Genomic DNA, 26416 nt, shown 5'->3' with positions numbered 1-26416 from the left:
TTTTAGTTCATTGTCTTCTACAGAAGAAAAAATCAGGTCAGATTAAACTCTTGAAACTGTTGCAATTACTTGTTTTCCAAACTTCAGTTTTTTAATTTTCTCTCTTTTAATTTGCAATCACTTTCCTAAGATCATGCCTTTTTACTTTAGATAGCTAAAACATCGTTTACTAAATATTTGCCTTAGCACTGACCTTTGTGGTTACTTTGTTGAAAACTGTGCTGTAACTTGACACAATATTAACTACTTCTGATTACTTATCTGGTATACGTTTGGTAATATCTACCTTTCAAGAAAGGAAGACAGTTCAGACACATAATTTGACAAAATTAGGAATCAGCAACATCAGTTCTTCGAACATAGGAAAAAATCTGAACAGAGTTGACATTTCTATCTGGTGTTAGTGTTCTTTAAAGACCACAGACAACATGCACAAATGTAGGCGGAAACAATACATCTGCAGATACTGGCAGACAGCATTACCCGCCAAATTTGGCCAGTTTGTTAAGATAAATAACTTTTCAGTGACGTGCAGGGCTGAAATTACATAAACAACAGAAATTACTAAGACTTAAGCCTACGAGTTTTGTGGGTTTCAAGATTTTATGCAATCAATATTCTGACATCTGTAACACCATTTTGTCCCTAAAATGCTGATGCCAGGAACAGTAAGATATTAACGTTTTACTTGATGACTTGCTCATTATCTTGAAGTAAACCATGATTAATTCTTTGGAATAACCATTATTGAGCCACATATTTAGGTCATTAAGACAACTATAATCATCTCCTTATAAGGAAGTTTCATTAAAAATGCCAGAGAGCTCAGCCTGCTTCAAAAACCAATACTTGTAGCTTGTTATATTAATAGTTCTAAATGTCTAAGGCTTTTTAAATGAAAATACCCTTAACAGTTTTATCGAGCCTGAGCACTAGGAATTTTTAAAAACTGACAGTGAAAAATAGCTGATTAAGAGGAAATGGCATTAACTAGTTACCTTCTTAGTCTATCCTTAGAAATTCAAATATTTTAGAGACATTTCCCATTATTTAAAATGGTCTTCAGAAGGCTTAAAAATCTAAAGAATACGCATATAAAAGCTCCCTGCCAATTCTGATTTAGCACATTGGGAATATTTGTCCAAAATTGAGGCAATATTCTTCAGTGGGACTGAAATTCCCCGAGAACTAATTTGTAACACTGGGTATATTTAAAAACACTAGCTCCCTTTTACTTCCCCCTCAATATCAACCAAGTTCTTTGCCATTAATGAAAGTTAAAACAACAGCCCTGAATATTAAACTTTCTTAGAGAATGTCTCCTTATCTACCCTTTGGGTAAATTTTTCTTCCTCTTTAATTTCTGAATATATGTTAACATGACTGTTTCATTAACATACTATTTGCTGAAAGAATATCACCATTCACCCATCTCAAAAGAAAAATATTCCCAGTTGTCAATTAAAAAAAAAAGCTATTTTTCAAATGAGTAGTCTGACATAAAAAATATAAAAGGATAACTTTATTGAATATACAAATTCAAGAGCATTCAAATTTTTTTTAAGATTATGGCATAAGACAGATCAATGGTAATGGTTTATATATCCTATACTTACCAAACAGATTAGGTAGATATACTGACCTATCAATGCTCAAAATAACAAAATGAATACATGTCCCTAAACTATTTCTGTATTCTATGACTACTAAATGGGAAATCTGTCAGCTGACCACCCACCAGACTTTTTCCCATAGGAAGTTTGATATGCTGTCATTGATATATACCATTTCTGAATATAAACCTCTATCTTGGGTCCTTTTCTCTTTGCCTACTTCATTATCTGTCTTCCCAACCCACCTAAGACTTAGTCAAAACAGGATACAGAGATCTGGATGGCTCTACGCAGAGGAAAAATCTCCAATAATACCGTCAATTCTGTATTCACTTTTCCTTTCAGCAGCTACCTAATTATATCTAAGATGGTGTGAAAAAATATACAACTCAAAAAAGAAAAGCATTTGGACTATCAATCTTCACCTTGGTCCTGCAGCTTCCCTTTATCAACCAGTGTATGTATTATTTTAAATTCCCAACTGTAAACACGTACAATATTTAATAAAACATCCAGAAACTTTGTGGTCAGCACCATGTAATTTCCGAGGAGAATGTTTTAGGTAGGGGCAGAGAAGGAAGAAAATTGAGAAGCCAGTAAGAAAAAAATGGCAATTCACACCAGAATGCTTTCATGAAGTGTTTTTTAAAAATGGATGAATTCAATTTTAAGTGATACTTTGCCCCATGACCAACATTTCCTCATTGTTTTAGTGTTCATAAAAGGCCTAATATGTACCTCTAGAAAAGGAAATTATCTTCTTTATTTACAAAATTGTTAAGAGCACCAGCACCAGGTTGAGTTTCCCCAAACTATACCTAGCTCATAACTCTAAAAGAATCTACAAATTAAGTCTTTTGATTCATTTAATCCTCATCACATCTGTTAATTTTAATTAATTAAAACTAAAACTGCTCCTTTTTCTGTATATGTCAGTGAAAGGTAATTAGGGAAGCTAAAAATCTGACCTAATAGGAACCCACCTAAAATCTACTTAGGTAGGTTTAACTCAAAGAAGATCATGTTGTTAGTCCCAAGAACTATCCCAGGCATTTTAAGTATTCTTAATCTATATTTTAGAATGTGCCACCAAACACTAAAATGTTAAAATAAATTATTAATCCTGCTCTGGTCTCTAAACAAGAACTTGTGGCTATTACAAAGTATTCTTTTTTATTCTACCTCATAACAGTAAACATTAAATGAAGATCCATTATCACAAGCTCATATCTTTAAAAAATGGATGCAACAAAGCTTCTTCTGCTGTTATTCTTGAAGCTGGATTTAGATCTAGAAGTTTATCAAGCAGGTCATAAGCTTCATCAGGTACCTCATTCCAGCCTTCTAAATTGGTATTATACTCATCAAAACAATGCTCACAGCTATTACTATCCCCCTTTTTAAATGAATTCCCTGAGTATTGTCCTGGAGGTGTTTGAACGAGGCAAGAAGCTTTATGGTCAGTCTTCTCTGAAATAGCTGGTTGATGAGAAGCATGCCCTTGTATATCACTTGTTAACTTGGGAGTGCTAGAATCCATACCCCTGAGTCTCTCACAGAGTTTTCTCAAGTCTTGTGCTGGAACTTCTTTGCTACATAATATTGATTTCCCTAAAAGCAAAAGAAGAAAAAACAAAAACAGAAAAAAACATTTTATTATTTGAATATATCAGAAGCCTCTCTCATGAGAAACATGAAAGTTCAAACATATGCTTTATAGACATGGACACACACACACACACACACACACACACACAGTATGAGATAGAGCACCACATGCTATATTTAAGTTGTATTTGAATTGCATAGTGGGAGATAAAGTGGGAGATAGTAAGTACAAAGCAGTGACTTACTAAGCTATGCCAGGCACTCACTTGACTCTGCCAATTTCTCAAGCTTCATCTTACCCTTCTATAATCTTTAACTAGCTGCAGCTCCCACGCCCCCACTCTACTTCCTTTCCATGCTTCTATGTCTTTGACTACATGACTCCTGTCTTTGCCTAGGATGCCCTGCACCCCTTGTGTGCCCAGGACACTCTCACTGACATCACCACTCAGATCAAGAATCACCTCTGAGGCTTGACACCCTCAGAGAGAACTGATCAATTTCAGTTTCTACTGTATCTTGAGAGTTCTACTATTACTTTTGCTATCCTATATATGTCTGTCCCACCTAGTAGACTGAGCTCTTTGAAGGCAGGAACTGTCTTATTTATCTTTGAACCCCCCAAACCCAGCCTATGCCTGGTACAGATTAGGTAGTCAGTTAATGTCTGTTGGACTAGACAAAAAGGCATTATTCTTTTCAACAACTGTTCAAATGACACATACATCCTTAGAGATGCTGTTCTTGACCAACCTATCCTAAATAAGCCTCTTCCCTCCCCTTTTCCTTTTATCTCAGTACCACTCATTTCTCATAGTATTTATTTATGTTCTCTCCCTCACTAGAATTTAAGCTCTGTGAAAGCAGAGACTCGCAATAGTACTTGGCACACATAAAGCCCCAATAAATGTTTCTGAATGAACAAATAAACAAACTAGATCTGTTTTTAAAAATATAAATGTATTTGAAATAACTTCCTGATGGGTTTATTATCAGATGTGCAAAAAAAAGTTAATCACACAAATGGCAATCATGTATTATTTTTGCCTTACATTTCCTTATTAAACAGAAATATACTAAATGTACGAAACAACAAGTACCACAACATTTAGATGCCTTTCTGAGAATGTAGATTGTCAACAAAGTCATTAATCTGACTGTGGATGATAAAAAGTTACCTTTACATATTCTGAACTAACTACTGGACTGGTGTACTAAGCCAGGGAAAAAAATGGGGGAGGGAAAGGGAGGAAACAAACAATTACTGAAGACCAAATTCTTTGAGAGTACAATATGCCAATGCTTTTTTACTTTTAAACTGATTCTATCATTCCTATTCTCTCTAGAAAATTATAGCCAGGGGGGAATATTCATATAGTTTTATTCCTTTATTAGCTTGTTCTGAAGTCATAAAATAACTAATAGTATATGTTATAGCATGTCCCCAAGTTATACAATATGCTTTTTTTTATATGACCAAAAAGAGGGTTCATTTACAATATTCAGGAAAAATAACTTCAAGTAACACTATCAGTCAACATATTTTATTACAGACTACTATGTGTCAGGAATTTGTTTCAGCTCAAGACTTTTCTTTTTAATTTATTCAACACAATTCACTGAGTACTTAATGACAACCCACAATGGAGCCAGGTTTAAGGGTTGAGGACAGATAAGAGAAGTAAAGGTGCTCTCACTGCTAATCTCAGCCAAGTCATTTCTTTAGGTTACAAAGGGGAACACAGTTGTGTTTGTTGAAATTTTGAGGCTTTTATACTCAGTCCAAAGTTATAGTAAGATCAAGACTAAAATAACTACAGATGTCATACTAATACAACTGAGACAAGTCCTATGGCATTATTTTTATTATTTGTTTTTTTGAGACAGAGTCTTGCTCTGTCGTCAGGCTGGAGTGCAGTGGTGCAATCTTGGCTCACTGCAACCTCCATCTCCCAGGTTCAGCTGGTTCTCCTGCCTCAGCCTCCCGAGTAGCTGGGACTACAAGTGCATGCTACCATGCCCAACTAATTTTTGTGTTTTTAATAGAGATGGGGTTTCACCACGTTGGCCAGGATGGTCTCGGTCTCCTGACCTCATGATCTGCCCACCTAAGCCTCTCAAAGTGCTGGGATTACAGGTGTGAGTCACCACGGCTGGCCCTATTTTTTTTTTAATATGAGAAGTATTACAATGATAAATCTCTAAAAGCTCTTGCTTGCTATCATGGCACTTGATCTAGAGTATTTTTGGGTCAGATGTTGTATTTCCATTGTTGGCCCTGATTATAACTTGGATTACAATGGGGGAGATTCAAGCTCTTCAATAAAATATGTTGGTATTGGCTGATAAACTTCATGTTCATAAACCTCTCACGAAGTTATTCAATAGTAGATGAAAGTTTTCTCAGTTGAGAATAAACATACTTGTTATATTATTATGTAAGAATGCCATTTCTAAGATATCAATCTTGCTTTCCACTCATGGTCACTTTTTTTCCCTTGTATTATTTCATCCTATTATCTTCAAATAAAATTTTCTTACAATAAGTACAAGATAGTTACAAATCGTGGACTGACTTTACTGTAGAAACATATTTTGGCAAGCCTCTATTAAGATGAGGCTTTCTTCACAACCACCACTAAGTTTTTCTTGTAGATTAGACTATAGCACTAGTGCATAAGCAAGGGCAGTAATTTTTGCAGTGGTTCTTAAACACCCATAGTTTCTTAGTCAGAATCACTTGCTTTTTCAAACTAACAAGGCTGGAGCCTTCCTAAGTATCTTGTTTTTCTGAATCATATTTTCCAAGAATAGGCTGAGTGGGCAGGCATATGTATTTCTTAAAGATTCTCAGATAATTCTGACATGCAACTCTGGTTAAGACCCACTGATCCTGGGGTTGAGCACAAGACAGCCCAGCTACTCTTGAGGTAGGCTGGCTGAAACTTTGTCTCCTGAGGTGTTCTGTATTGTATGGTAGTAAGCTGAGTCAATCCCACTTATTCCTTGGAAAGTATTAACTATAACTGAGCGTGGAAAATAAACATTAAATGGGCACTTGAGTTCAGATTGTTGGCCAGAGCAAGGCTGAGATAATTCTTATGTGCCCTATGAAGTACACTGCACATCCCAGTCTTGAAGAACTTGCGTGGCTAAGGAGATGACATCCAAGTCCAATATATGCTTACAATAATATCCCATCAGTTAAGGCCTTCTATGCATTCTGCTTCTCTGCTACCGTAAACCTACACAACCTGACAACACACATTTCCATTCTCTTCCCTAGTCCTTATTACACTGTATTAATAATTAACTGTTTACTTGTTAGTATAGCCTAAGATCATTTAAGGCAAGGACACTCTAAGTACCAAGACATAGTGCATCTGATGTTTAAAAGACAATAAAAAAGTAAAACATATTACAAAGTAAAACATGCCTTTAATAAAAGGTAAATTTATGTAATAAAAGTCAAACCATAACTAAAAGGAGTTAAGATTTTACTCCTTATTCTTATAAAATTATAAAGGTAAACTTTAAATACTGCAACAGTGTATTACTTTGTGCTTAATAAGATTAAATGATTATATGTATAGAGAGGTGATAAATTTATTTTCAAGCAACTGAAGAATTTTCTACTTAATATTAGAGAACTTTATCAAGACTGAATGTTTATTTGTAAAGAAAATTTCACAATAATTTATTAAGTGATTTGTAGGAGATAATCAAAGGCATTTTGTTTGGTTCTATAATACAAAACTGCTTACCAAAAGTTTTAGCAGCTTGGATAGTTTCTCTGGATCCCCTAATTGTCATAATTTGGGCCAAAGCAGTTAAATCATCACTTGCTTTATAAAATGGATATCGTCCACTAAGCAAAGAAAGAAATATGACACCTGCAGACCACATGTCAATTGCTGCAACAGAAGACAAATTTTAAAAATAAATTTCAAATCTATAATTTTATCATCTAAATCAATAGTCCTCAACATTTATTATGCATTAGAATCACCTTGGGAGCCTTAAAAATTTCAGATGCCCAGACCCAAAGATTTTGATTGAACAGTTCTGAAGTAGGGCTCAGGCATCAATGTTTTAAAAAAGTTCCTCAGGTGATTTTAATGTACAACCAGGACTGAGAATCCTCACTGCAAAATATGTTTTCTTTCTTGAGCAACGTGTTGGTAAATTTAAAAGGATATTTAATCACTAGGAAACACTAAGTAAACGCACATTTTATAGGATCAAAAGGAATCCAAAAATAGCTATGTGGGAAAAAATCTGAATGATCCTTGAGAATTACATACCATACTGGTCAAAGTGCTTTCATTTTAGTGAAAAGTAATGAACATTAGAAGCTCTTCTTCAGCTGACACTAGCACCAACTACTGCTATAGAAACTTTTAAAAAATTACTTTTTTATTTTTTTGTGACTGTGAAGACTTTAATTTTTCTGAGTACACAGTAGGTGTATATATTGATGGGGTATATAAGATGTTTTGATACAGGCATGCAGTGTGTAATAATCACATCCTGGAAAACAGGGTATCCATTCCCTCAAGCATTTATCCTTTGTGTTACGAACAATCCAATTATATTCTTTTCTTTTTTTCTTTTTGAGACAAGGTCTCCCTCTGTGGCCCAGACTAGAGTGCAGTGGCACAGTCTCAGCTCACTGCAATCTCTGCCTCCCAGGTTCAAGCAATTCTCATGCTTCAGCCTCTTGAGTAGCTGGGATTACAGGCATGTCACCATGCCCAGCTCTTTTTTTTTTTTTTTTTTTTTTTTTTGTATTTTTAGTAGAGACGAGGTTTTGCCACATTGGCCAGGCTGGTCTCAAGCTCCTGGGCTCAAGTGATCTGCCTGCCTCAGCCCCTCAAAGTACTCTTTTAGTTATTTTAAACTGCACAATTAAATTACTGACTATAATCCCCCTGCTGTGCTATCAAATACTAGGTCTTAATTCATTCTTTTTTTTTTTTTTTCGAGATGGGGTCTGGCTCTGTTACCCAGGCTAGAGTGTGGTAGTGTGATCTCGGCTCACTGCAACCTCCGCCTCCCAGGCTCAAGTGATCCTCCCACCTCAGCCTCCTGAGTAGCTGGGACCACAGATGCACACTACCACATCCAGCTACTTTTTTGTATTTTTGGTAGAAATAGGGTTCTACCATGTTGCCCAAGCTGGTCTCGAGTGCCTGAGCTCAAGCAATCCACCTGCCTTGGCCTCCCAAAGTGCTGGATAATTCATTCTTTATAACTATTTTTTGTACCCATCAGCTGTCCCCACATCCCCCACACCCTCCCACCACCCTTCTCAGCCTCTGGTAACCATCTTTCTGCTCTCTATGGGTTCAATTGTTTTAATTTTTAGATCCCACAAATTAGTGAGAACATGCAACTCTTGTCTTTCGGTGCCTGGCTTATTTCACCTGACATAATGATCTCCAGTTCCATCCATGTTGTTGCAAATGACAAGATCTTCTTTTTCGTGGCTGAATAGTACTTCCATTGTGTGTAAGTACCACATTTTCTTTATCCATTCATCTGTTGACGGACACTTAGGTCGCTTTCAAATTTTGGCTATTATGAATAGTGCTTCAACAAACATGGGAGTGCAGATACCTCTTCGGTACATTGATTTCCTTTCTTTTGGGTATATACCCAGCAGTGGGATTGTTGGATCATGTAGTAGCTCTATTTTTAGTTTTTTGAGGAACGTCCAAATTGTTTTCCATAGTGGTTGTACTAATTTACATTCCCACTATAGAAACTTTAATCTTCTGAATTCTGGTAGTTAAAGATTACGACTAGCTCAACTTGATGTTAAAAAGCTCTTTTTTTTTTTTCTTAAAGTTGACATCTCTCTTAATTGTTGACTTCCTAGTATCACCAGGTTATCTGCTCTCTGTTCCTTGGGCTACTGTATCACCTTTTTTTTTTTTTTTTTTTTTTTGAGACTGAGTCTCACTCTGTTGCTCAGGCTGGAGTGCAATGGTGCGATCTTGGCTCACTGTAACCTCTGCCTCCCGGGTTCAATTCTCCTGCCTCAGCCTCCCCAGTAGCTGGAACTACAGGTGTGTGCCACCATGCCCTGCTAATTTTTTGTACTTTTTAGTAGAGACGGGATTTCGCCATATTGGCCAGGCTGATCTCGAACTCCTGACCTAGTGATCTGCCTGCCTTGGCCTCCCAAAGTGCTGGTATTATAGGCATGAGCCACTGTGCCCGGCCCTACTTGCCTTTCTTAGCTCCTTTGGTACCTCTGCCTGCTCCTTCAATGTTTTCTCCAAGCCTTAAGTGCTGACGGATATTCCTCAGAGTTTTAACTTCTCCCTCTGTATACTCTCCCTGATTGGTCCATCCACTTCATGGCTTCAACTGTCATTTATATAATGATGACATTCATCTGTATTTCTAGCCCAGCTCCTTCGCTGAGCATCAGACTTAACTTTGATTCTGCTGGAAATCTCTATTTGGATGTCCCACAAATACCTCAAACCAATTATACCCCAAACTAACCTTACCTTCCCCTATAAACCAGTTACTTCTCCTTTACTCTCCACCTTGGTTACTGGTACACATCCAAGTCTCCCAAGCTAGGAATCTGGTAAACATCCTGAATGCCTTTTTCCCTCACCATACCACACCCTAATTCTACATCCAATTATCCACCAAGCTCTGCCTTTCTAACCCTTCACTTTTCTTTTCATTCCTATTACCAATACCCTCATTCACATTTTCATCCTCTCACCCGGACAAATTCATGCCACCACTCTCCAAAAGCTAATCTGTTTGCACGCCTGCCAGAATGATCCATCTAGGATATACCATTGTCACTTTTTTCACTTAACTTTCCAATATCTACAGTATATAGTCCAAACTGTAACAACTGTGGTCTGACCTTGTCTACCTCATTCCAGGTTTATCTCTCACCATTCCTCAACTTGCATCTTAATATTCTAGCAAAATTGGACTTTTTTTTTTGAGATGAAGTCTTGCTGTCGCCCAGGTTGGAGGGCAATGGTGCGATCTTGGCTCACTGCAACTTCCGCCTCCTGCGTTCAAGTGATTCTCTTGCCTCAGCCTCCTGAGTAGCTGGGATTACAGGTGCGCACCACCACACCCAGCTGATTTTTGTATTTTTAGTAGAGATGGGGTTTCACCATGTTGGTCAGGCTGGTTTCAAACTCCTGATCTCAGGTGATCCGCCCATCTCAGCCTCCGAAAGTGCTGGGATTACAGGCATGAGCCACCGCGTCTGGCCAAAATGAAACTTTTTTAGTTTCCTGTATGCTGTTTCTTGAGTTCCTTGGCTCATGCCTCTATGCTAACTTCTCAGCCCAATTTACATTCTAAGAGGTCATTTCTTTCATGAATTGCCTTTCATAATCTCTTTGGGTTAGGATAGTTAGATACTCCTTAAATACCCTGAATAAGTTTTATTACCATACTCAACAGGTTATTTTATAATTATTTGATGGTGTCCTGACTAGAGTGTGAACAGATGGTCTCATTTATTTATTTGTTATCATTAGCAAGCAAGAACAGACATTCAATGAATGAATACATTTCTTCAAAGCCCATAATCCAAGTGAATAGCAGGATTCATCTATTCATTCAAGATGTTTCCTGGATTCCAGCTCCATGGTAAGTTTTTAGATTACGGAAGACATTTTTCTTTTTCAAAACCTTCTAACTGCTATTATATTGTTTATATAATAACAAAAGTAATTTTAATCAAACACAAATATATCTACATCACAGGAAACTTTTGAGGTATTAAGCAAGCAAATAAAATGCTTTAAGTCTTTGGCTGGCAAAAACTATTAAACATAATTTTTTCCCCCACAAAGGTGATGTCAGCAAAATTCCACAGATTACATTTTGCGTATTTATTTACAAGATGGTAAGATCATCTTGTAAATAAATACGCAAAATGTAATCTATGGAATAAACTGTTTAAACAAAAAAAGAGAGGCAACATTAGGATTAAAAACTTTCATAAAGAATAGCATTAGCTCAAAAATAGGAATGCCACACTGCAAGAACTGCTTACATAATTAAAAGCAGAAGAACTCAAATATTAGTTATAAATAGACAAAGATCATAAAATAAAATACGTCTGGAACAATCCATTTTAACTAGGTTCTGTATTTCCAGTACAACATACCTGTAGTTTGATTGGGGCACTTTGTCAAGACCTCTGGTGCTCTGAATCCTGGTGTACCTGCCCTAGGGGCAACCTGCTGACGCCTTATGATGAAATAAGATTTCTCTAGTTATGTTAAAGTTGAACTATGTAAGTCTAAAAAATAACATTCATCAATTTAGTTCACAGTAAATTTTGCCTTGATACCTATATAATAAGTGTTACTATAAAGTAAATGATAATCTAGTGTGATAAAAATCCTAGATTTTTCTTCTTCTGTTTTTTACCCCCTCTACTAGTTCCCCGGACTTACTCCAGAAAGGTTTAAAATAACCTCCAAGAATAAAAAGCAGTAGTGGATAATAAGAGCCATAATAGAAAAAATAGAACCCAATAGCAATTCACAGGTATAAAAATTCATTTGTTTGGAGTAATTGATCACAGATACACTTATATATTTGAGTTAATCAAGAAAGGCTTTATGAAAGCCAAGCCTTGAAGGAAAGGAAGAAATTTATGAGTCAAAGAGTTGGAGGTGGGAGTAAAAGAGGAGCTCTACTATTTGGTTCTGGTTACTCCACATAAGCGGGAATAAAAAGAGAAAACAGAAAAGACTACATCAGCAATCAAAATGTGTGATTCTAAGCTTCTAAAAGCCACCCCGTCCCACTTATTTGCATATAAGAGCAAATGTGTTTTCCAGAGTATATCCATATTAAATAAATAATATATGAAAACTGTTATCATTTGCTCTTCAACATACTACTGCTCTGCATCAAGGCCCATTGCAGTTCACTGATCTGAACTGATCCCTTGCACTCACAAAATTATCCACCCAAGTCAATGCAATTTCTAATGGCAGCATGCTGGTGATTTTATAACACCATCAAAACACATTACCTTGAAAGGCAAATACTACAAACTTTATCTGTTGCATAGCAGTCACAGGTCAGGCTAGCTGGGCAAGAACTGGCAGTTTTCCTCATCACAGCACTATTCATAACTTTTGTAGAAATAGCCTTCTTTTTTGTTGCTAACTTTCTAGACAGTACATCCACAGTCTTTGACTGCTTCATGAGCTGTAAAAGAAAAGTCTCATTTTTCTATTTTCATGATATTAAACATGATGTCCTAAAATGCTAGTATGGCAAAAAGCAATAGCGGAAGCATAACTTTAAAAACTGCTGAATGGCTATTGGACTGTAAATAAACTGTTGTCTATTAAAATGTTTAAGGTCTTCTTGGGTTTTTCTGTAAAGTCACCTTATATTAAAATTTACTAATTAGTCCTAGCTTGGCCAATATTTGAGTTATACTTTATTAGAACTTTTCCTGATATATTACAGAAGTATAAAACAGTTATGTTCTAGTGTCTAACTCCATTTCAGAACTGTAAACTGCACAAGTACGTTGGCTAAAATCACAGTTTTAATTTGTTGCTCATGCTGTCTAGCTGTCACAAGATATCATAAGTCAATCTGAAATCATCTACATTGATGATGATTTTGTTAACTTTACAAACATCTTTACACTATCAACTATGTGTCAGAATAGTTAGCTAACTGTATGGAGCTCACACTCTAGCAATGACAGAAAGCCCTTAATGTTCTAAATGTTCCTCTAGAGAAAGACAGTAATAGCTAACCAAAAATGAGAAAAAATTCCACCAGAAAAGTTCAGAAAAAAACTGGAGAAAACAAGTTTTGACTAAATGCTTAAAGCAGTAATACCTTCTGCCAAAGCCAAACTCTAGTTTAAAAAAATTTCTGATAATAAATGTTAATCTAGTTATTACCTAAATTCTCTTCAGTGTATGACTGACTGACCATTATGCTATTAAGCTACATTACTTACTTTCACTGCAGGGCTCTCATGTGAAATGGAGCTGTGTATATTGAAATTTCTTTCTCCAAAAACAGAGCGCTGGACAGAAAGGCCTACAGATCCCTCCTACAATACCAACAAAAACAAGGAAAATAAGGATTATATCTGTAACACTTTCTGCCAGCTGTACTCTGCCATAGTTTTGAAAGAGTTAAGTGAGATGAAACAAAAACAGCTGCATCCAAGTCATTCTCAGGCACCAAACCACTTCTGTGAAAGGAGAAAATAGTCTAGACAGAACTCAACACCCATACAATGTTATCATAGTCCACAAATATATATAACTAAAAAAAAATTCAAAAACCACCTGCATGGATGTTACATTTTGCTGTGCAGCTAAAATGGAGATAGACACTTCAGAATTCCTCCCCTATAACTAATGCTTTCTTTTAAAAAGGATAATTAATCTGAACTTTTTAACATGCAGGGAAAATTTAATATTTTCCATTTTTGTCATAAAATATGATTTCATAATAGTTAATGACAGATGTTATAAACTGACAAAGTAAATTTTAGTTTTAAAATAGTAACCAAAATGATTCAGTACAAATCTTAGTGAAAATTTAATCAAATGAATACATATAACAAATGCAAAAAAAAGTTTTTTAAATTATAAGTACTATCCTAGTATTCTATCTCCCTCTGTTGGTTGAAGGAGTATATTTCTAAAACAGTGTCGGTACTTAAGAAATAAAAGAGATAGAACCTTTCCGTCTTTTCCTTGTTTAATCTGAATTTGTGCATTTGTGTAGGGTCTTTTAACAGAAGCTTTTGTGGTGGACTGCTGATCCAGCTCCTTAGGTACTGGGCCACTCAGTGGAATCTTGTTTCCTGTGATTATGTGGGATTTGTTTTGTGAACACCTTTCCTGCTGAGCTTCAGACTGGACAAATTTAAGAAGCTCTATTTTCGTATCATGGGTTCCTTGGGCCAAACCAAAGTCTACCAAGGCATACCTAAGAGACAAAATTAAGCATTTTTACTTATCTGTAGCAATTAAAGCTTAGTAACATTGTAATACTCTCAAACCATCCTCATAAAAACTGTAATTCTTTTTGGGATCAATTAGGAATTTATAACATTCTGGAAAAAAGAAAAAAAAATAAGTTTTCCAGACAAAGTAAGAATTTAACAGCTAACCAGGATTGAAAATTAAGAGTTGTCCCACAATCAAATTTTCTTTTTCCAGTGGTCTGTGTTAATAAGGCAGAAGAGGAATACATAACATAAACACAGTCCGTTGTTCTCTGATGGTGGCAGAGATGGCATCATAGCAGATAATTTCTAGTTAAGAAAGCTTAAAAAAATTAAAATCATGGTTTTAAAATCTGATCCAATTAAAGAAAATTAAAAAGTCAGGCATATAAAAGCTCAAAAAAGAAGTTATAATATTATTATGTTTAATATGATCCATTATATAGAGGTATTTATGTTATTTTTAGCTTATAATTTCTCTATAATTATAATCAGCATTAAAAAGTATACATAAAAATAAAACTTTTGTGTTAAAACAGGAAATTGGCTATCATGTGGTCCAATCCCCTCACTTACTAGAAAAGAAAAATGAAGTCCAGAGATAAGAGACATGTCTAAGGTCAAAAATTATTAGACTCTAAGTCTGTTAGTTCATGCTATTTCCACTGAACCATAGTACATCTAATAATGTACATTATTCCACTAATACAATTTTATCTTCTTCATCACCAAATTTCCCTTTCCAATCACAAAGAAACTGAAACAGAAATAATCTGTGCATGGCTATTGCAGTATGTTATATTATATCTAAGAGATATAAGTCAGAGGATACAAAGTAGCAGATATGTAGGATAAATAAATCTAGACCTAATGCACACTCTGAAGATTACAGGTAATAAAACTGTACTGTATATGAGATTCATACTAAATGAGTAAATTTTAGCTGCTCTTGCCGTAAAAACAAAAATAAGATGGGTAACTGAGATAAATATTTGCTTCACAATAGTAACTTTTGTACTATATATAACATCATGTTCAATACCTTAAATATAGACAATAAAATTGTTTTTTAAAAGAAATAGGATAAATATTTTCTAGTAACTCTTCATACTTACTTTTTCAGGCGCCTATTATATAAAAAATTGCTGGGCTTAACATCACGGTGAACAATACCAAACTGATGAATGCGTTTCAAAGCTTTGAACAGATTAAGCATATATTCCCGTACTTCTTGAAAGGAAAGAGAATTCAGAATGTCCTAAAACAAAGTTACAAATGAAATGAGTTACAAATATTGTTTGCAATTAAATATTTAGCTAATAAAAATTCAAGAAATATTAAAACCTACCAAAAACGACTCATGCTCCAGATATGGCATAGCAATAACTACATGATCATTCTTCCTAAAGCAGTATTTAACTCCCATGACATTATCTTGCCCCCTAGTGGAAAAATGCACAAGGAACTTTTAGAAGAAAGGTCAGAGGGACTGAAACTTTATGCCTAATTTTAAAAACCGCAATTTTAGCAATGCATACATATTGCTAGAAAACTGACTTAAATCATCATCACATAATATAAACACAAGTGACTTGTGTTCTCGTGTTAAAGTTTTCTTTTAAAACAAAAATGGCACCAGTTTTGAAGTTACTATAATAATTCAAACGAGGTAATTATAGTTGTGACTGGGGAAGCAGCAGAATGAGAAAAAAGGGAAAAGATTAATAAGACTTAGCAGATAAGATGGTAACAGTAATAAATAAATCAAGGTCACTAAACTAATAGATCAATGAGCCAGGATTTGAACCCAGGCATTTTGCTCCAGATATATGTTCTTAATCACTATGTTACACTGCTTCATAAAAGAGGAAAATAGGACAAAGGTGATTTCTATGATTTTGAGCCTGAGTAAGAAAACAATAGAGATACCAAAAAATGAGTAGAGAAGCCAGTAAAAGAAGCATCTAAAACCAGACCTCATCATTTTGATAGAGTTATCTAGACAAGGGACTAAGCCTTAAGTGAGAAGACAAGTGAGAAGTCAGTGAGAGTACCTGCAGAGAAGTGATACCTACAGACATGAAAATTAATAGCGAGAAAAGAAAACTGAGCTTGGAAGAAGCCAAGTTAGAGAGCCAAATAAGAAAGGAATTTTGAAGGAAGAGTTATTAGCATGGAAGTCAAAGAGAATAACAACTGAGGGAAGGCTTTTAGTTAGGCAAAGAATAATTAACTGGTAATTTTTAAGACAGCAATTTAAGTGGAAAGGAAGAAACAAAACAGAAGGAAGGAAAATATAACACAATGGAAGCTGAGCCTGAAGACAATTTGCCTGACTGCATTGTAAGATCAGATGAAGGCATTTTTAGCATGTACTTTTTTAAGCACAGAAAAAGAAAAAGTGGTAGAGGGAGACAGTTAAAAATATAGAAAAAGAAATGATCATATTTAGGGTACAAGAATGTATGCAAGCATTCTTTATAGAGGCCATCTCATTTTCTTGTCTTCTATAATACACAGAAGGCTGAAACAAACAGGCTTATTCATTCATTCAGTATTTAGTTGGCACTGTTATTTGCTGTTAGGGATTATAGACATTAGTGATGCAATAGTGAATAAAATTTACAGAATTTCTGTCCTCATGGAGTTTACTATCTAGTGGACAATACAGATAATAACAAGGTAACTTATAATGACAGAATACGATAAGGGCTTTGAAAGAAATCTAAAGATGCTATGACAATAAAAAAAAATAGGAGAATCTAATTTAATTCAGAGAAGACATCTTTCAAGCAATGTCACTCTTTTTTTTTTTTCTCAGAGGCAGGGTCTTGTTTTGTTGACCAGGCTGGATGGAGTGCAATGGAGTGATCGCAGGTCATTACAGCCTCAAACTCCTGGGCTCAAGCGATCCTCCTACCTCAGCCTCCCAAGTAGCTGGGACTACAGATGTGTGCCACCTTGCCTGGATAATTTTTAAGTTTTTTGTAAAGATGGGTTCTTGCTAGGTTGCCCAGGCAGGTCTCAAACTCCTGGCCTCAAGCAATCCTCCCAAAGTGCTGGGATTACAAGCATGAACTACTGCGTCCAGTTTCACTCTTGCTCAGATCAGAAGATGAAGGGTCAGCAAGCAATGACTGGGAGAGGTCTTCCTGAATGGGGAAACAGTCTGGGCAGTGGCCCTGAGGTAAGAAAGCTCTTGAGACAAATTTGATAAACTAAAGAAATGGAGCACAGTGAGGGAGGTGGGAAGATAGGCATGAGAAGGTTGAATTTTTTTTTCAAAGTACATAGGGAAACCACTGAAAGATTTTAAGTGGTGGAACTAATGACCCAATTTAAGTTATATACATATATATTTTATATTTTAAAGATCATTCTGGCTGCTGTGTAAAGACAGAATTAAGGGGAGAAGGAAGAAGCAGGCTACAGTCGTAGTCTAGGCTTCATCTGAGGTAGTGGCAGAGAAGACAGAAAGACATGGATGAACTTCTAGATATACTTTAGAGCCAAAATGGCTAGGACTTAGTGATTAATGTGGTTTAGGAGAGAAATAGAGAAAATGAGGATGATTTCTAGGTTTCTGGCCCAAACAAGTGTGTAGATGGGCCATTTGCAGAGACGGGTGGATAAGAACATTTGTTGTGGTGTTTTTTTTTTTTTTTTTGGTATGTTAAGGTTTAGGTTTGTCTTTTAGGTTTGAGATATTTATCAGGCACCAAGTGGAAATGTTAAATAGGCAGGTGGATATACACAAACCTGTAGTTAAGATAAAAGGTCTGAGATTAACTATATACTTTTGGGAATCATTACTTTAGATCATGTGGAAATGGAGGACACTAAGAATACAGAGAAACCTAAGAGCAAGCACGAGGAACTCCAATATTTAGGGGTCAGATAGAAGTGGAAGAGCTAGCAAAGACACTGAAAATGAAAGGCCAAATGAGGGAAGAAGAAAACAAGGAGGGTGTGGCAGGACAGAAGTCAAGACAAGGGTTCACGTCAATTGTGTTAAATGATGCCTAGAGTAATGATTGACTCTATAGTTTCCAGTTTAGCATAGAGAAGAACAGCCGCAATAGGTATTTAGTGAAAGAGAGGTGTGGAATGAAAACAATGTATGCAGATAATTTTTGAGAAGTCTGGCTGTAAGGGGGAACAAAGAAATGATGGAGCAGGTGGAAGAAGGAGGGCAGTTTAGGAGGGTAAGATTCTAAATCATGTCCATATGTTGACAGAAATGACCTAGCAGAGAGAAACCATACCAGATGATTCTGTTATTCTAAATAAAATATTAGATGAGGTCGTCAATAGCTGGGGAAATGTGAAATGTGAGTTCCCTACATTTACAAAATAATGTAAACCATGAAAGCCAAGGTTTATGATTTGGCAGGAAGGTTACAAAAAGCAGTGATAAAAGACAGGAAATCAGGTCGAGCCTCAAGGGAAATCCAATCTAAAAGAATTACTATAAATTTAACTAACTATTGCAAGGTTAGAAGGAAAGTGCTAGCAAATTGCAAACACTTGACTGAAAAATGTATTTAATTCACATATAATCCCCTCATCCCTGCTAAATATCTACTTTAAAATCTTATAAATTATATACAAGTTCAATTAAAATATGTTTAAATTGCCTACCCAGCCACTGTTAGGCACTGAAGTTCAGCTGCAATTCTTATAGGATGACTTGTTGGAATCAAGTGTTTTAGAGCAATTTTCTCTTCAGGTCCTACTTGTAACTGTGCTGTGGCCAAATAAACAGAGCTGAAAGTGCCTGTAAAACAATTTATTAAATTTTTCAATATCTGGTTTTTAAAAATGTTAATGAAACAATTCTAAGATAGATTGTAAAAACTGTTTCAATGGCATAATACATTAAAACAGGACTTCATTTTACAGTAAATATTTATTATTTATTCTTTCTTTAAGGTTGAAAAAGAAAAGCTGTTACCATAATTAGTAATAAAACTATGGTCTTAATAGTCTAAAAAGTGGTATATTTTTCAATAAGAAATAGTAATGAAAACCAAGACTAAAAAAGGAAAATAGAATGGAAAAAAGACCTCGTAAAAATAGTAAAAGCATATCCCCAGATTACCTTCTCCAATTTTGTCCTCAATCTTAAACACATTACTAAGCTGTGGTACAGCTTCATAAAGCTTCTCAATATCTTTTTTAACACCTTTCAAGGAAACAAAAATTTAGAGTTTTAATCAATGACAGTATATTTTACAGTTTCTTAAAATTTAAAAAGCTCAATGAAATAAATTATAAAATATGAGTAATTAATTATACATAAGTTTTAATAACATTGTGATAAGATTAAAACCCATCAAGTTGCTATAACTCACACACACCTCTTGAACAGACAAAAATGACAGTCCCAGAATTAAATACACCAAATTTCTACTATACTGGAATTATATACTAAGAGATACATTGTTACTGTAGAGATTACAACATGAAAAAGCACCAAATTTTTAAAATAACTAAACAATTTGTGCTGTGATCACTAGATGGCATGACAAGGACACATTGCGATGTTCTTGAAAACTATTTCCCGTAAAGATACAAAATCTTAAAGGCTTGGTAAAATTTTATGTATTAAATATTCACACTATATTTTCAGAGAGAAGGCCTACTAAAGCTCTCAAGCATGTAAAAAAGTATTTTTAAAAATTTGTCCCAATTGCCAGTAGTATCCTCTATCCTTGACTGCAGATAAATTGCTACTTTTAAATAAGTATCAGTTCTTTATAAAAATGTACATAGTTAAAACAAGGGGAGGCAATAATACAAAACCCAGTAAACTACTGGATACAGAAGAGAACTAGATAAGTCTTCAGATTTTATTACAGTATCTAGGCTCTACTAGCCCTATATAGCATAAGTTTAAGACATTTTCAAAGCACCGGCACATGCAGTATCTTTTGAGGTCTTCCTAACAGTACTGTGAACTTGGCAGAGCAGGAATGATTATCCTGATTTTTCAGATAAGGAAACTCAATTCAGGGAGGTTAAATCATTTGCCCAATTTCACAGAGGTGTTGCTGATTATATATATTTTCTAATTTTCTTTCTTTTTTGAGATGGAGTCTCACTCTGTTGCCCAGGTTGGAGTGCAGTGATGTAATCTCCACTCACTGCAACCTCTGCCTCCTGCGTTCAAGAGATTCTCATGCCTCAGCCTCATGGGCAGCTGGAATTACAGGCACGCAACACCACGCCCAGCTAATTTTTGTGTTTTTAGTAGAGACGGGGTTTCACCACAATGGCCAGGCTGGTCTTGAACTCCTGACCTCAAGTGATCTGCCCACCTTGGCCTCCCAAAGTGCTGGGATTACAGGTGTGAGCCGCCGCACCTGGCTAGAACTAATTCATTTAAATAAACGCTGTCTTAAAAAATGCTCAGCAATGGGTATGTAAAAAAAACCAATAAATTTGATGCAGCCACTAAGAGCTTGGTCTAGTAAAGGAAACATGTTATCATTCTTAATACAAGGTGACACCTGTAATAAAAGAATGTATATACTACTAGGTTGGGGAGGATTTCTGAAGGTGATAGGAAGCCTTCAGTTGACAGCTAAGTTTTGTTCTGAAGCATTCACCAAGTAGTGAAAGTGGAAGAAAACATTTTAGGAAAAATTAACTACGTCTGTAAAGACAGGAACAAGAAAAAAAAAAGGCTTGGATGATTAGGGTAGGGGGAGGGCTGAGAGACAATGAAATACAATGTGGCCTGGGGCGGTGGCTCAGGCCTGTAATCCCAGCACTTTAGGAGACCAAGGCAAGAAGACTGCTTGAGGCCAGGTGTTTGAGACCCTATCTCTTAAAAAAGCTAAAAAACAAACAAACAAACAAAAATTAGCTGGGCTTTGTAACACGGGCCTGTAGTCTCAGCTACAGAGACTGAGGCAGAAGGATACCTTGAGCCCAGGAGTTTGAGGTTACTAAACTATGATCGTGCCACTGTACTCCAGCCTGGGTGATGGAAGAGGGAGACCCTGTCTCAATAATAATAACAATAATAACAATAATAGAAATAGAATGTGGCTGAGGAAGACAAGAGAGAATGCACATGAAAGCTATAGGAAGTTTTTAAGCAGAAAAATGACAAGTGGAGAACAGATGTGAAAGGGAGGAGAAACATTAAGGGTACTTCCACACCACTACTCACTTATTATGCATCTACTCCTCTTTACAAAAATCAAAATGTTTATTAAGGTTTCCTGTCACTTCAGAACAACTTCAACAATTTTAAACAACAGTAAAACTTCCTGGCAACCAAAGTGAATGCAATATCCTCAAATTCTGAAGTGGGAAATGACAGCAGAAAGCAGAAAAGTGCATTCATGTCAAAAGCTGGAAAACAGTACTAAAGACAGACAAATGAAACAGACTTTGAGGACTGGAGGAGGATCCCGAAAATCTATAATATGCTAAAAATTATTTAAATGCCTCTATTTTATACATGAAGGTCTAGGCTTCTATTTTGACATTTTAAGTCACTTTTGTTTTCTGCTGCATAATATATCCAAGTTGGTTTTAATATACCAATAGTCTCCTTAACTACACTCCTTGCCAGCCTGGAGTCTATCTGTAACATAGTAGCCAGTCGGCTTGCAACATAGCAAACAGAGTTTAAACAGAGTATTCTGATAAAGCTAAGTCACCTTGTCACTATTGTGCTCAAAACCTCTAATGGTTTCACATCTCACTCCATTAGAAAGCCTCTTTACATCTCTCTTTGACTTCATTCCAATTACCTTCCCCATTCTAGCCACAATGACCTCCTTGCTATTCTTGAATGCTAGGCACACTCCCATCTCAGGGTCTTTGTACTTGCCGTTTCAGGGTCTTTGTACTTGCCGTTTCCTCTGTTTGGAATGCTCTTCCCCAAATATCTGCACAGGTCACTCCTTCACCACCTTGAAGTCTTAGCTCAAATGTTACAGAAGGCTATGAGCAACCATACTCACTAAAATTACAATCTCCTTCCCCAATACTTCCTATCTCCCCTTCCCTTTTACATTTTCTTAGTAACATTAATCACTTTTGAGCACAGTATTTACTTCTTTTGTTTACTCTCTGTCTATTGTCTAACTACCACAGTGTTAATTTCTGTTTTATGGTTTGATTTATCCCTAGCACCTAAAAAAGTACATGTATATAACAGACAATAAATATTCATCACATAAATGAAACGTTTTCAATATCTTGTCATGGATTAAAACTGACACTCTAGGCATATAGTCATGGTTATTCTGGGGCTTCATGTACTCTCTGGTTTATACCTCCTGGAACTAGGGGATAATACATAATATAAGCCCAAACTGGGACACTCTTGAGTGAAAAGGCAGCAGGAATAATAATTACATTGTGACAATAGCCGTAAGCTAGATCTGTCCCAGGCAAACAAAGATGGTACCCATAGCCCATTTTAGAAGCATGGCTAAGGGTGTCATTGTAGCAAACAGAATGAAGCAAGCCTTCCTTCCAGTAGAGTTCACCAGTATGGAGGAGACTTTCAATATAGAGTTTATACATCATTCTTTCACTGAACAGATCTTTCTCACTTATTAAAACTTGGCATATAGTAGATACTTAAAAAAAAATAAAAGCTTACTGGCCAGGCATGGTGGCTCACACCTGTAATCCCAGTGCATTGGGAGGCCAAGATAGGAGGGGATCACTTGAGGCCAGGAGTTTGAGACCAGCCTGGGCAACATAGCAAGATCCTGTTTCTAAAAAAAATATTTAAAATTAGCTGAGTGTAGCGGCACATGCCTGTAATCCAAGCTACTCAGGAGGCTGAGGGGGTAGGATTGCTTGAGTGCAGGAGTTAAGGCTGCAGTGAGCTGTAATTGCACCACTGCACTCCAGTGACAGTGGTGTGACAGAGAGACCATGTCTCAAAAAAAAAAAAAAAAGCTTGCCAAAACAGTGAAAGAATAAACATTTGACCAATATTATGCCAGATAGTTTGTGCATTACAGCATTTTTCTTAATAGGAAAAAATAGAAACAATCTATAGGGTCAATAGTAAAAGGTGATTGAATATATTATAATATAATATGCAATGGACCTTAAATCCAGTTGTAGAATATTTACTACATGAGCAATATTCAAGATATATATTAAAAAAAATGGAGATCAGAAATAAGATCCCATATTCTGGTTCTCTTTTCAAAAACAAAAACAAAACAAGATCCCAATTTAGTTTCTAAAAAATGTACCTATGTATGCCTAGAAAGGCTAAAGGAATATAACAAAATGTCAACAGTGGCAATATTTCAATAATGGGAAAAGACTTTATTTTGGCTTTCTTTACTTCAAAAATTTCAATAATCATGTTTATCAGAAAAATGTTATAAAAATCTGACAAATATCTCAAAATAAAGAGACATGCTATTCATCCATTACACTAAGTATTTTACTTTATATCCTTACATTAAATCATTCATTCAAATATTTTCAAGCACCTACTATGTGCTGGACACTGTTAAGCTCTGGGAATGCTAAGATATATAAAACATCCAATCAAAAATATAACTTCAATAAGGAGTAAAGTTGATGAGGTGCAGGCATATACCTGTCTCATGATCTAATTTGATTTACTTTCCCAATTAGATTACTAGACTGTTATGTGCCTGGACCTCATCAGCTTTGCTCCCTATTGAAGTTATGTTTATATAACTTTAGCTGTTATTAAGATCATATTTAAAAAAGAACCATAAGAGTAAAGTTTTAGCACGTTTTATAATTTATCATATTATAATGTCCAATGTTCTGTTACATAAACGCTACAAAACTTTTGAAATCCGTAATAAAATTCACCCCATTCATTACTTCCCAGCAGATTTTCAGAATATTAGAATAGTGGCATTCTCCTAAACATGATGCTAGAACCAATTCAGAGTCATCCATTCAGATACTCTGCTGAAGTCACAACATACTTTAGAAACCAGAGGAGATACTGCCGCCAAGGGGTTTACAGTGGAGACAAAATGCAGAGTCCTAAGCAATAGAAAAAGAATACTACAATGACTGTGTTACTGTGTTATGTGTCCAGTGACTAGTAAGGGAAAGATGAACTAAAAAAACAGCTAACTGCTGGAAAAATGGAAAGGAAGAGGAACAGTATCCATGAAACTGGATGAAAGTGGCATTTTAAGATTATTCTAGCACCAACATACAAGATGAACTGAAGAATGGAAAAGTGCAAGCAGGCAGCATAGGTGAGAAACTGTTGTAAATCAGGAACAAAGTGTAAGGAAATTAATTAATGTGGTGGAAATGGGAATGGAAAGAAGACACAATGCCATACTTACTAAAAAGAAATAAAGCTAGGTGACGATATGGGGAACAAATAAAAAGCATCAGCTGAAGATTAAAGTTTCAAGTTTAGGTAAGTGGGATAACTGACTTCCATCAAAGCAGAAAGTATGTGATGTCATATTTTTCTAGGGTGGGGTTATAAAGAATATATGGACAAAAGGTCAAAATAAGTATCTTTTAGACAAGCACAGAATTCACTTAAGACAAAGATGGGAAAGATGATCTGGCTACCCTTTCAGAAAAAAAAAAATACAGTCAACTAGAATTCCTCTATTTAACAAATATTTATTATTAACAAATACCTACTATGTCCCAGGTCCTGTGCCAGAGCAGAAATGAAGGTACACATGCGAGTGTACAAGAGCAGGCACTGCTTGACCCTGTCTTATTCACCCTAAGGTCTGGTTTACGGTCAAAGAACATTTCATGCTGTACACTGAGATATGGTGCTTTATTATTGCTACAAACATTTCATATTTTTTTGTCTGTGAGTTCTGCTTTTGAATACTTAAGTGATGATCTCCAGTGTCAATTTCTACATTTAAGCTTAAGGCAATGTGGTGAGTAGAGATAAGAACACAGATACAAAAGAGAAATTTAATTTGGGCATCATCAAATTTCTGCATTCTTAATTACCAATACTGAGACCATAGCAACTTCAACCGTAAAACAGGTTGTATTACAGTCTTCCAAATCGCAATTCAGTCCTACATTTAGATCATACGAAGCTCTGTTTTAACACTGTCCTATAGAAACATACAATTCACTTTATAAGATTCAATCTTATTTTTTGAGAGGAATTGAAAACACAGAATTGTTGCCTGAAAAATCTTTATAACTGTACATCTTTGGATTTAAACACGTACCTGCAAGTTTAAAATTCTGCTCGTTTTTTTTTAAAGAGCCTTCAGCCTGAAACCGGTCACGCTGGGGAGAAAAAGCCATTGGCTCATCCATCTGAATCCCCAAAGACGCCTCCATCACAAGCCAATTGAGATGCAAAATGCCAGCTAAGGGGTTACATCCACAGGGGGAGCAAAGCAGCTGTGAAAATTAGAACACTAGAGAAATTTAGATCACTCGCTAAACCACGCACTAAAAACATGCTACTGCCCCCCAAAGGGGCAAACATTTTCAAACGCACGATGTGTCCAAACCTCCACAGTAGGGCATACTGTGGCCTTGTCTAAGGAATTCCATGTGCTTTATTTTCACCTATCAGAAACACCGGCAGGGGGCTGCAGGGAGAATTTCCCGGCTTGGGCACCCGCGCAGCAGCAGGCGCAGTGGGAAACGGCGAGGCTGCCAGTCCGGCACAGCCAGCGGGACCGCGTGGGGGAGGGGCCGAGCGCCGGGGGCGGTTTGAAGTCAGGAAAAGAACTGAGGGAGAAAACCTTTTCGCCACTGACAGGAAGCGCCAGGAGGCTCGTCCAAGGCCCCAAGCAAGTTGACGGAGAACTGATACGACCCTGGCCACGAGTACTGGGCGGAGGAGGAGAAGGGTGAATGAATGGGAATCCGCCGGCCAGCGCTGGCCGCGAGCTCAGCCGGGAAGGACCGGCTTCCCTCGGGCCAGAGACCGAACCAGATGCTTAGTGCGCAGGCGCGCGACTTTCCCGCCGCAGGTCGGAGGGATCCGAAGGGGGGCGGGAAAAGGAACTGCACGGCGAGAAAACCGAAGTCACGATCCAGAATTCGTTCCTAATCCCTCACAATCCCGCGCCATGGAACAAACCGTCGGAAACTCACGGTTTAAGGGAGTACGACTTCTGTGGCTCCCCAGATGCCTGGGTCGCCGTCTCCAAGAGATCCCCACCTACCGAGTCGATCGGATGCGCCTGCGCAACAC

General features: G+C 36.4%; 1 protein-coding gene and 1 long non-coding RNA gene across 18 annotated transcripts in view, besides 2 other annotated features; one reads left to right on the top strand and one right to left on the bottom strand.

The window, feature by feature from the left end:
• The window catches only part of LOC102723436 (uncharacterized), a 50981-nt gene extending 42249 nt beyond the window's left edge, over positions 1-8732 (top strand). The window contains exon 5 of the long non-coding RNA XR_007066219.1: positions 8590-8732. This is a non-coding gene — a long non-coding RNA (uncharacterized LOC102723436). The remainder of the gene's footprint in view (positions 1-8589) is intronic.
• On the bottom strand, positions 1501-26414 carry CDC7 (cell division cycle 7). Of its 17 annotated transcripts, none has more exons than NM_003503.4 (12): positions 26317-26414; positions 25434-25611; positions 19328-19411; positions 18868-19003; positions 15575-15668; positions 15342-15484; positions 13958-14207; positions 13222-13317; positions 12268-12446; positions 11389-11471; positions 6986-7135; positions 1501-3224 (listed from the first exon to the last, which is right to left on the bottom strand). In NM_003503.4, exons 2-12 carry the CDS (start codon positions 25546-25548, stop codon positions 2830-2832), a joined length of 1725 nt encoding a protein of 574 aa, NP_003494.1. In that variant the 5' UTR covers positions 25549-25611; positions 26317-26414; the 3' UTR covers positions 1501-2829. The 17 variants fall into 17 exon arrangements, with proteins under 17 accessions (NP_003494.1, NP_001127891.1, XP_005271298.1 ...); NM_001134419.2 differs by having other exon boundaries at positions 25434-25577; XM_005271241.3 differs by having other exon boundaries at positions 26388-26414.
• Positions 3536-3605: an enhancer, noted in NCBI's record as "active region_1304". NCBI's record gives its function as "activates an Ori minimal core promoter by ATAC-STARR-seq in GM12878 lymphoblastoid cells {active_cell/tissue: GM12878}" and the evidence as "EXISTENCE:reporter gene assay evidence [ECO:0000049][PMID:35858748]".
• Positions 25573-25772: an enhancer, noted in NCBI's record as "active region_1303". NCBI's record gives its function as "activates an Ori minimal core promoter by ATAC-STARR-seq in GM12878 lymphoblastoid cells {active_cell/tissue: GM12878}" and the evidence as "EXISTENCE:reporter gene assay evidence [ECO:0000049][PMID:35858748]".
• Positions 26415-26416: the final 2 nt, after the last annotated feature.

This window comes from Homo sapiens, chromosome 1 (assembly GCF_000001405.40).
Source record: "Homo sapiens chromosome 1, GRCh38.p14 Primary Assembly".
Classification (NCBI taxonomy): domain Eukaryota; kingdom Metazoa; phylum Chordata; class Mammalia; order Primates; family Hominidae; genus Homo; species Homo sapiens.
Note: the sequence above shows the minus strand (reverse complement) of the source record. Positions and strands in the feature narration are given on the sequence as shown.

Excerpts from the sequence above, each read along its gene's own strand:
- CDC7 (NM_003503.4), bottom strand. The coding sequence starts at position 25,548 with ATGGAGGCGTCTTTGGGGATTCAGATGGATGAGCCAATGGCTTTTTCT. Across the intron at positions 14,208-15,341 it reads TATAATAGGCGCCTGAAAAA|GTATGCCTTGGTAGACTTTG; the intron begins GTAAGTATGAAG and ends TTTGTCTCTTAG. Across the intron at positions 13,318-13,957 it reads AACAAGGAAAAGACGGAAAG|GAGGGATCTGTAGGCCTTTC; the intron begins GTTCTATCTCTT and ends TTGGTATTGTAG.